We start from the raw sequence: 12,201 nt of genomic DNA on the forward strand, positions 1-12,201 counted from the left end.
GAGTAACTTCAAGTGCAACATAAATACTGACAAATAACGTTCAACCAGCAACTGCCACCAATACCCGTAACTGTATAAAGAAGCTGCACCGACAGAATCCTCACGCAACCACCTCGCCCCCTCACCCTCAAATATTATGCAACTCCATATGCTATTAAAATTAATTATAATGACCATCCCATCATACTCATTCACCAAATTAACACCAACTCTGTTAATAATCCTAATAATAAAGCCCCTCAAATGTCAATACTTGACCCTCATGTTTCAGGATACTCCTCAAACAACCATTATACCACCCAAATAAATTAAAGACTATTAACCCCACGAAAGTCCCACCAAAATTCAACAGAATACCACAACCCACAGCACCACTAATAATTAACCCTATCCCCTCCCCATAAATAGGAGACAGTTTCGAAGAAAAACCTGCAAACCCTATAACTAAAAGAATACTTAATAATAAATCATAAGCCATTATTCCTACATGGACTATAACCATGACTAATGGTATGAAAAACCATCATTGTATTTCAACTATAAGAACACTAATGACCAAAATATGCACAACGCACCTGCTAATAAAAATTATTAGTCATTCATTCATTGATCTTCCCACACCATCCAACATTTCTACATGATGAAACTTTGGCTCACTTATTTGTGCCTGCTTAATTCTCCAAATCACTACCAGATTATTTCTGGCCATACACTACACATCAGATCCCTTAACTGCCTTCTCTTCAATCACCAATATCAGCCGAGATGTAAACTACGGCTGAATAATTCGTTATCTTCGTGCTAACGGCGCTTCAGTATTTTTCACCTGCCTCTTCCTACACATTGGCCAAAGCTTATACTATGGTTCATTTATATTTCTAGAAACCTGAAATATTGGTATTATCCTGCTACTCACGACCATAGCAATAGCATTTATAGGTTACGTACTCCCATGAGGCCAAATCTTCTGAGTTTTTACACACCTATTCTACAAACCTGCTATCAGCCATTCCGTATATTGGAACTGACCTTGTGCAATGAATCTGAGGTGGATTTTCAGTAGACAAAGCCACCCTTACACGATTTTTTGCCTTCCATTTTATCTTACCTTTCATCATTGCAGCTTTAGAGACTTTTCACCTTTTGTTCTTACATGAAACAGGATCTAATAACCCTTCAGGGATCTCATCAGACCCTGACAAAATCACTTTCCACGCTTACTACACAATCAAAGATATTCTAGGCCTAATTCTCCTCCTCCTCTTCCTAATAATTCTAGTACTATTTTCACCTGATCTCCTGAGCTACCCAGATAATTACACTTTAGCCAACCCCCTCAATACCTCGCCCCACATTAAACCAGAGTAATACTTTTTATTTGCATATGCAATCTTATGATCCATCCCTAATAAACTAGGAGGTGTACTGGCCCTTATATCTTCCATTCTTATTCTAGCAGTTATTTCTATACCTCACATGTCTAAACAGCAAAGCATAGTATTCCGTCCACTAGTCTCACACTCATATGAATCGGAGGGCAGCCAATCAGCTACCCTTTTATTATCATCAGACAAACAGCATCCATTATGCACTTCTCAACTATCTTCACCTTACACCAATTACCGCCCTAATTGAAAACAAATTACTCAAATGAAACTGCCCTTGTAGTATAACTCAATGCTCCGGTCTTGTAAACCAGAAATGGGGAATTCCCTCTCCAGGACAACTCAGGGAAAAAGCACTTCTGCTTCACTGTCAACACCCAAGCTGAAATTCTAATTAAACTACTCCTTGTACGTTTTTCAGCACACACTTTAACTGCTATGTCAGTATTAACGAACTAATACTAATACATTAGTGCTTTTATATACTTCATGCATTACTGTTAATCCCATGAATAATATATTGCACTATAATTGTTTAATCATATATAGTACATTAATACATTAAAGTACATCAAGAATATAATCTGCATACATATAACCACGTATTAACAATCCCCCAATCAACTATAACACATTCACCGTATCAACTGTACAACTCAAACTAAGCCAACACGAATATCAACCCATACTAAAAATCCTTAACATTACATAGTACATTAAATCATTCATCGAACATAGCGCATTTCAGTCAAGAAACTCCTTGTCAACATGGACATAACCTCGCAGCCCAGTAACCACAGACTGGGCAGGAAAACTGCAATCCCCTGTAAATAGCATGCAGTTTATATAGCATTTTCACTTAACACCCTCCTCTTAATGACTTTCACCTGGCAACCTTCATTTAACTCAAAACTCAGGGCCTCATTCCCCTGTACAGCCCATGTTGCATGGAACTGGCCAGGGTTCAGATGTTTATCATAGACAGGGAACAAATCTCTAGGTTGGCCACTTCCAGATTCCCTAGCTCAGAACATTCAGGTGCGTCTGCCATACAGGATCTGGCTAAGGGTAGGCTTAAGTTATTGCTATCAGGTGCGCTTACCCTACATATGTCCTCAGGAAAATTACTTAATTTCTTTGTCCAAAGGTTTCCTTAGATGGAAACAGGAGCACTTTCCTCCTCCTAAAGGGGATTAAATGAGAATATACATATCACATATATACGTGTGTACAAACACACATATATATGTGCATATATACACACAGATCTGTTGATTTAAAATGTGTTGCCACAGATGCTCTTTTAATGCTTACTTCTGTTTTTATAAATATTTGCATCATTTAATGACAAAATATCTACTTGAGGATATTTTTGATTAATAATTTAAATGTGTTCCTTTCCTATATCCAAGAAGACCTGCAGCAGGGTACAAGGTAAAGCAGTCACACAGAACTCATGTTCTTGGGTCATGTTGCTGCTGTCCACATAGTACGGAGCAAATGTGCTCTGAACTGGCACCACTGGATTTGCTTCCCAGAAAAGTCTTTGAAAGAACAATAATGAATACATACCATCTGGGTGAGACTTGGAGGTATTGGGGCATTTTAGAATGTCCACCTGGCTTACTTTTTTGACTTTAGCTAAATAAAATGTAATAAAGGGGGCAGGTGGGAGTTGGGGGAACTGTTCAACTCCCTGGTTAGTGCCCCCAAATGCTGACCAGTGCCACAGAAACCCATGTGGCTGTTGGGTGTGGCTCATCCGTGTGGAAAAGGCCCCTTCTAGGCCCATACTCACTTCCAGTGTTAGGCATGTTTAATCAGCGTTAGCGGGGAGTGTGCATTGATAACCACAAAATTGGAAGACACTATGAGGAGAGGAGTGTGTGAGAGAGAACAAGAGAGGAAAGGGTTTAACTCTACCTTTCACTCTAGTTTTCTACCGGTGGGTGCTTGATCATCTAACGGAAGTTGTCTGTGCAAGGGGAGCTAGAAATCAAGTGAGCAGAAAATCGATTTTGCATAAATTGAAAAAGCTGGAGATAATCACCAAAATATCTCAGTCATCTCTGAGAAAGGAAGGGAAATTGGAGCTGAAAAGGATTTTCATTTCTAGGTCCCTGAGAAGCTTTGATGACAAGGCACAAGTGTTGTATATTTTCTGAACTAGGGTGACCATACTTATTGTTACCAGAAAAGCACTTGTCCTGGTAAAGACCAGGAACTATAAGGAGACAAATAGCTTCATCCTCAGCCCTTTCTCTTTGGACTGACACATCTGGTTTACAAATGAGGCCATTTATACTGGATAGATTGGGAACAGATGGCTGCTACCTGGGGTCTTCAAGTCCTCACCTTCCCAGACAGCCCTTTGCTTTTCAACATGCAGATAGAAAAACCGATGCCCCTATTCCACATCCTATGGAAAACCTAGTATCCTCCCTGAAGATTTCCATGGATTCTTGGGGGCATTGGTTGCATCTGATGACCTCTTGTTCCATCCAGTGTGTGACGGCTAAAAGTTCGGGCCTCTGACTAAAACAGACCTGTGATCAAATCCTGGTTCTCTCTCCTTACAGTGATGTAAAATTAGGCAATTTGCTTTGATCTTTCTCAGCCTCAATTTGCTCATCCATGAGATGGAGATAATACTACTTACCTCCCAGAATGTTATAACTGTTAAGTTAATAATGGGATAGTGATAAGGGAATACAAGTAAAGCACTTAGCATGCAACCTGGCACAAAGAATGAACTAAATAGAGGGTAGCTGGTATTCCTTTATTCACACTACCCTAAACAGATGAGTCAAGATGGTAAATTTTTTGTACAGTATTTATTCCAAAGCGCATGACAATCTTTCCCAAGGAGATCCTTTTAACTTTAAAAATTTTCAAGAACTCTATACACTACAACATTCTTTTAGTATTCATTAATTCTGAAAATACAAGATCACAAAAGGTAGATAGAAGACATGTTATTTTTTCCATTTTTGGACAATGTTTGATGCACACAAGGAATCACAGACCTCTTGCGGTAATTCTAAGGTTCCCTGGTGGTCCCTGGCCCCAGGTTGCCTGCATTCACAAACACTTCACTACGGAATTCCTAAACTTCATTAACTACTGCTTTTCTGAAAGGGCTCAGTTCTTACATACTCACCGAACAAATATTTATTGAGTGTCTGTTATGCACCACATATTCTGCTAGGACTATCTTGTTTTACACTTTAAAGGACATAATAAATATAAAAGAGATTTGAGCAGGGTTACGTGCAATAAAACCTGTGGGCTGATTATTCCCTCTCTCCGTTCCCGGCATTTCAGCTTGTGATAATCACTTCACCATGTCGGGTTTTACATTGTGTCCAATAAACAGCTTGTCACAGGGGTCATGGCTCAGTTGAGAACTGCCCAGCAGTCCCACTTGGTATTTCTTAGAAATTATACCTCCCACTTTTCACATTTCATATCCTACCCCCAAATTAAGTTGGGTTTTTTTTTTAGTAAGATTCCCGTCTATTTATCATTTCCACATTGTTTAAAGGAGGATTATTCAGGGTAGTTTTGCTTCCTGCGCTTCTTTTTTTATTCATACATAACAGATGTACATATTTTGGGGGTACATGGGACATTTTAACACATTCATATAATGTATAAAAATCAAATCAGTGTGATTGGGTGATCCATTGCCTTAAATATTTGTCTTTTCATTCTGCTAGGAATATTCAAATTATTTTCTTCTGGTGACTTTGAAATATACAATACATTATTGTTAACTATAGTCATGTTACTGATCTTTCAAGCACTAGGTCTTATTTCTTCTATCAAACTGTATATTTTTACCTATTAATCAACCTTTCTTCTTTCCTCCGCCCTTTCTTGACCTCTAGTAACTACCCATCTACTCTCTGCCTTCATGAGATCCACTTTTTTAGCTCTCACATAAAAGTGAGAACATTTGATGTCTGTCTTTCTATGCCTGGCTTATTTCACTTAACATAATGACCTCCAGTTCCATTCACATTGCTACAAATGACAGGATTTCATTCTTCTTTATGGTTGAATAATGTTTCATTGCGTATATATGCCACATTTTCTTTATCCATTAATCTGGTTTGTGGGCATTTAGGTTGATTCCATATTTTGGCTATTGTGAATAGTGCTGCAGTAAACATGAGAGTGCAGACAGCTCTTCAACATATTGATTTTATTTCTTTTGGATACATGCCCAGTATTGAAACTGCTGAATCGTATGGCAGTCCTGTTTTTAGTTTTCTTAGGAACCTCCACACTATTTTCCATAGTGGCTATATTAGTTTACATTCCTAACAACAGCGTATAAATGTTCCTCTTTCTCCACATCCATTATTCCCTTTTTGATAAAAGCTGTTTTAACTGGGGTGAGACGCTATCTCATTGTGGTTTTGATTCGCATTTCTCTGATAGTTAATGATGCTTGAGCATTTTTTTTTTTCATATGCCTGTTGGCCACTTTCTGTCTTCTGAGAAATGACTACTCAGATCTTTTGCCCGCTTTAAAATCAGATTATTTGGATTTTGTTTGTTTGTTTGCTATTGAGTTGTTTGAGCTCCTTATATATTATGGTTATCAATCCCTTATCAGATGGATAGGCCAAACTAAATTTTTTATCTTTTCCTGCTTTTTCTTGAAGGCAGAGAAATGGGGTTTCTTTTGTGCCCTTGCTTAAGTTTAGATATTTTAATATCTTTCATCAAATATTATTATTTAAGCATGGAATATAAAGAATTAGGGTAATCACTCTGTGGTTCTCCCCATGTATACATGTTAAATAAATTTGTATGGTTTTCCTCCAATTAACCTGAAAAAAAATGTACTTCCCTGGTGGACATTATAGTTTTTGGGGGTGGGGGGTCGGTGCCACAAGACAAGGTTGCAGGTATATAATAAAATGGCAATGTGCAGACGTGATAGAGTAGGCACAGAAAGCCAATGAGGGCTTTTGTTGTCAGAGAAAGTCCTATAGAGAAAGCAGGATTTCAGCTCATCATTAAGAATAGATTGGGTTTAGTTGGGGAAGGTGCAAGGAAAGGGTGTTTCTTCTGAAAGGTGCAGCATAGCAGATGTGCAGGGATGAAAATAAGTGTCATCAGCTCAAAGGGCTCCAAGTGACTAGGATGTCAGCATGGCTGATGCAGAAGATCTGTGCTAAAGAATACTGGAAAGGAAGGTGGCTGGGAATCATGAGGTAAGGCAATGGAGAGCCCTGAGGACCAGCTTGAGGACTCTGGGCTGACATTTCCTGAGCAATGGGGAGGTGGTGTGTGGTGCTTCATCTGGCATGGTCTCTGGATGGGGAGAGACTGGAGGTGGGGACACTGATTGGAGGCTGCAGATGAAGGCTCTGCAAGATATGGGAATGACAGACTATGGGTGGCCAAGGGAGAGAAGGGGAAGGAATAACAGGTATTAATAATTCCAGAATGTTTGCTCTGGGTAATCGGGAATGACTGGAGGAGTTCCCACCAATTAAAGTTTTGTAGGAATTCTGCCTTTCAAATGTCTTTCTTCCTTTTCCAATGAAAGTCTTTTCCTTCTTCCATGTATGGAACCTGATAGTAAAAAAAGCATTTATCTTTCTATTTTCTAGCATTGCTTTCCTACAAAAAGCACTAAAATCCTGCCAATTATGAAATGGCCCATCTTCAGAGAGTAATCATAAATAGTCAAAACAACTTGAAGATCTTATCAGCTTCCCGCTTTCCCTCTCTCACCAAAATTAAACCCCATGACTAGCAATGAAACAGCAAGTATTTCAACTAGATGTATTTGTTATAGATGTCTTTTCTCCTCTGTTTTTATTGCCAGGCAGCAAGTTAGCAGTTAAGTCCATGGGTCTGTTTTCTTAACCTATTCACCCTGAACTGGAATTTTTGAGTTTATACTAAAAACAATAATATCCTACCCTTATTATTTCTCTTTGTTGTTTAAATATTGCCTTCATTAATGTTATCTCATTTGATTCTTTATCAAAAAGCCATATGATTCAAATCTGGCACATATCATTATTCCCCTTTAATATATGAGCAAGCTGAGAATGAGAAATAATATGTTCATTTACATTGCCAACAAGTGTCATCCCTGGAAATAATGTCTAGGATCTGTTATTCAATTACATCCAATATACTAGAAGCTGTTACAGAGAAAAAAAAAGTTCAACATATTATCTTGAAAATCTTCTTATAAAATTGAGAAAATCAGGCATAAATATGTAAACAGTTAAATAACATTCCATGGCTAAGTGTCCCACCAGATGGCAATAGAAGCCATGAGTCAGAAGGTACAGGGTTAATTACCGTGTCATAATGTGATACACAAATATGGGAAGACTGTGTTCATTTCTGGGCTCTGTGTTTTAAGAGGGACACTGACAACGTAGAGCTTACCCAAGTGAGACTCACTGGGAGTCCGAGGAGACGCAGAGATCAAAGATGAAGGGACAAGTGTCCAAACGAAGAGAGAACCCCGGGAGGGCATTATGCCCCTCCACTTATTGCAATGCCTGGTATGTGAAAGGCTTATTCTCCTTGGTCCCAACAGTATGCCTGTGGCTAATGAACAGAAATTACAGGAAGGAAGCCTCCAACTTCATGTAAGGAAGGATGCTCCAACCACAGGAACAATGAAAAGTATACAGAACAAGCTGCCTAATGTGGTAATGAGCTCCCTATCCTTAAAGGTGATCCATTATGGGTTAGGTGAACACCTATTTAGGATGTTGTAGGGAGAATGCCTGTATCACATGCCTTCTGCGTGCTGTCAAGTTCAGAACCAGCAAAATGGTATAACTGAGAGATGGCATGGTGCAGGGTTTAAGAGCACAGTCTCTAGATCCTATATGATGCTCAGTCTTGGAACTCAGCAACCATATTGTAAAGAAGCCAGGCCCCACGGAGAAGCCATTTGTAAGCCCCAGCTAAGGTATCAGAGGACAGTCAACATCAACCGTGAGATGCATGAATATGCAAGCTTTCAGATAATTCCAGTGTTCCACTTTTCGAGCCACTCCATTTGATACCAAGTAGAGCAGGGATGACGTGCCACCCCAAACCCTGCCCAAATTGCTGATTCATAATCAAAATAAATGCTATCATTTAAAGCCACTAAGTTTGGGGGTGGTGAATTCTTCAGTGCTGGATAACTGAAATACAAAGTTTGTGTGATATTCAGAGTTACCATTGGTCTTCACATCCATTAATAGGTGGTGCTGAGTCAACTAGAAGGTGGTGTTATGTGCAGAAAGGCAGTTGGGTGGGTTGTGCCGATGAGAGAAGAGAAGGCTTGGTGAAGCTATTGAGAGAACATGAATAAAAGATTAATGAGGAACTTTGAAGACACAGTGAAGGACACAGTGAAGGCTAGATCTTCATTGTGTCCATGGTTTTGTCATTCCCTCCATCTCCTATATGGTTTTGTGACTTTTCTAATTCTTCTTGAGGAGGCAGCTAGATTGAGCAAGTGCTAGGTCCTGTCAAGAAGGTAGAAGAAATCTTAAAAGTCTGTAGGCCTGCAGAGGAGGAGTGCGTGGTGGACTTCAGAAGCAGAACACCCAAGGGGACAGAATAAAATCAAAGAGACTCACATATTACAGACCATGATACATTAAACATCCACAATGTTAATATGGAAAGGAACCCAAGAGATTGTTTTCTAGATAATGAAATCAAGATTATGCACTTGGAAGGTAAATAAGTACTTATTGTAGAGTACAAACGCTACAGTTGAACTTCAGGGGAGAAATATTAGGTTTGTTGAGAAGAATCTGAATGGACGACAGACCTAAAAATGCTTTCTAGATAGGGAGACCAGGAAAATCAAGATAGGGTGGATATGATAACGGGCTGTTTTTGAGTCTAAGAAGGGAAAGGTACGGCAGTTCTTGAAGGTGAGATCAGGGAATCACGATGGAACTTTGTATCATCAATACCATAAAAAACAGTTCTCTCATTTTTGGAGGAAAAAAAATACACTGAACACACAGAAGGAGAGAACCAGAGTGGGTGGCCAGATCTCCAGCAAGCAGCCCATGATATATTAGAATGCCAATGGTCTGCTGTCCCGGTGCTCTGAATACAGGCAAGAGGAGGCAGGCAAGGGAACAAACCAGGAGGCAGTTACCTGGCTTCCTCGTTGCTTTTCAGGCTACAATAAAACATTTCTAAATTAAGATGTAATGCTGGAAATCTGGGCTCCAATCTTCTGAGTGGCGATTCTGATGAGGGTAACTGAAGTCCCCACATTGCTCATCACTCCTCCTATTTCCTGCAGCACACAGCATTGATTATCCTCCTAAGAAAAGCCATTTCAGCATCTAGAGTGGAAGAGGGGAGTATTAATCATAGTGAAATTTGACAAGGCAGAAGCCTCCACGGACCCACTTGAGCCATTTAAAGCTTTTATGTGCCCTCTAGACTGGAACAAGTGCATGTACATCAGGACCATAAAAGAGGGGAGACGCTTATTTAGAAAGCATTAATAGCTCAGGACTGGCCTCTCTCTTTTGCGTCTCTTCTTAGCCCTGGTTGTCTAAGTCAAGTCATTTCAGCTGTCAGTATTGTTTTATTCCTCATTTTAGGAGATACTACTAAAATGTCAGTTCACCTGGAAGTTGTGCCCAGAGCATTTAATTGGATTTACATTAAAATGAAAGAAATATGCCAATGTGGTTTTAATTCCAACAGTTATTATAATAGATAAGGATTCTAGAAAAAATAATGTCAAGTCTAGGTGAAATTGTTAGGCTATAAAATGGACTCAGGGGATTTTTTTGAAAAGAGAAAGGGGACATGTTCCTGCTGTAACTGTATTTAACATTCAGCGTAGGGTACAAAGCTCTCCACCTTTTCTCTGCTTGCTAAGACAAGTGGATGTATCTTAGAACTGGGGACTAGAAGGGACATGAAAGCATCATCTACGTAATTTCTCTGCTGTCAGAGAAATCATTCTATGTGTATTAAATATCTCTTGTTTGTAACTTATTCTCCTCTAAAGGACCTCACAAATGAGCCCTGAGGGAGCTGTTTAGAATTAATTCATCACAATAAAAAAATTGTCTTTGTGCAACCTTTCATATTTTAGTTTTAGACTCTTCCATTTTCAGCTCTATATGAAAAGACTCAATAGTAGGTTATTATCTTCCTGATAAAAAGCCTTCACATTGTTAATCTCTTTTTCCAAAAATATATTTGTTTCTGAAATATTTCCTCATATGCTCTCTTTTCCTGCCCCTAAATAGTATGTATTGCTCAATGCCAAGCCCTCCCTCAAGTTAATTGCTCTTTTTTAGTTATAAAACCCCAACTGGAGTCCATCTAATCATCTAATAATTCCTATACTTATGCCTCCAGGGCCACACTAGCTTTTTAAACTACAGCATGGTGAAAGCTGGTGGTCATTTGCTGTCTCATTTTCCTACCAAACTTGTATGAAATTGTTCTGTCTTTCCCAAGAACCGTCCTTCACCAAGTATTTCTTCAATGGACTGTGATTAAATGGTTTTAACTGATTATTCAATGAATATGTGGGGCCCATTTTTTTAAAAAAATTAGAAAACAGATGGGTTTTAAAAAAGAGAGGATATACAATGAAAAGTTCTCTTCCAATCTCTGTCCCAGTCATGTGCTCCCCCAACCCATTAGGGTCTAACCCCATTTCTGCTGCTTGTGTATTCATGGAGAGAGATCATGTACATAAAAAGAAATGCATGTAATGTATTTACTACAATTGGCAGCACGTTTTAGCACTGCTCTGCATCTTTTTTTATTTTAATAATATACCTTGGGGGTCTTTCCACTTTGGTATACATGGATCTCCTTTATTCTATTTTTTTGTTTGTTTGTTTCTATTTTTTTCAGTAGACTAGCAGTCTACTGACTGGATGTACCATCATATATTTATTGCAAACCTTTCTCAATATGGATTTCATTCTCCAAAATATCCTCTACCAGCTGAAGATTGTGGAAGACTCACTATCATACTTCACTGTGCAACTGTTTGCAGAATGCTTACTATCAGCACAGCACTGGGCTTGGTGCCAGAGGGAATACAAGAAGCAGTGAGTTTGGCAGCCTCTGCTCCCTAGGAAACTACAGCCCCATCAGGGAGAAAATACATGAGAATAAGGGGGTCCTGATTGCCAAATCTATCCCCCTAAGGTTTTCCTTTGTTTTCTTGTACATCAGACATTTTTTCTAATGCATGGTACAAATGGCCTTTCCCCTTTATTGGATGTGTGTATGGTGGTTTGTGTGCCTGGTCCTGCTTTTATACTGGGAGCCACAAGAACAGAACTGTCAAACTCAAATACCTACAGAGGCCAGGAGGGTGACCTAAATGAGTGAAGGGTAGAGAAGTGAGCCAGTTGGGAAGGCATAAGCTCTGTTTAAAGGGATCCCCAACTGCTACTGTGCTCGATTATTTCCCTGTGAACAACCAGATCTTTTGGTTGATTAAAAGGAACCAGTGGGTAACAGGTACATGGGACTTTTCTGTATTATTTCTTACAATACATGTGGGTCTATAATTATCTCAAAATAAAAAATTTAATTTTAAAGAAAATCAGATACCTAGATCATTGTGTGAAATGTCCTGATTTATAAATGTAGGCAAAATCTGAGCATTGTGCAGGTGCAGCAAAACTCATCTATCTGTAAGCCAAATGCAGCCTTGGGTCCACCATTTTGCTATCTGTGTATAGCTGAATCATTATAATTTGATTTGTATAAAACCCAAGGCAACCCAATCCATGACTTTGCTTTAAAAATACTTGCTACTGTG

At 39.1% G+C, this 12,201-nt stretch overlaps 1 protein-coding gene and 2 pseudogenes across 3 annotated transcripts in view; all 3 read left to right on the forward strand.

The window, feature by feature from the left end:
• The window catches only part of AQP9 (aquaporin 9), a 47,743-nt gene that overhangs the window by 16,240 nt on the left and 19,302 nt on the right, over window positions 1–12,201 (forward strand). The window lies entirely within an intron of this gene.
• On the forward strand, window positions 9–478 carry MTND6P23 (MT-ND6 pseudogene 23; annotated as a pseudogene).
• On the forward strand, window positions 552–1,653 carry MTCYBP23 (MT-CYB pseudogene 23; annotated as a pseudogene).

This window comes from Homo sapiens, chromosome 15 (genome assembly GCF_000001405.40).
Source record: "Homo sapiens chromosome 15, GRCh38.p14 Primary Assembly".
Taxonomy (NCBI): Eukaryota; Metazoa; Chordata; class Mammalia; order Primates; family Hominidae; genus Homo; species Homo sapiens.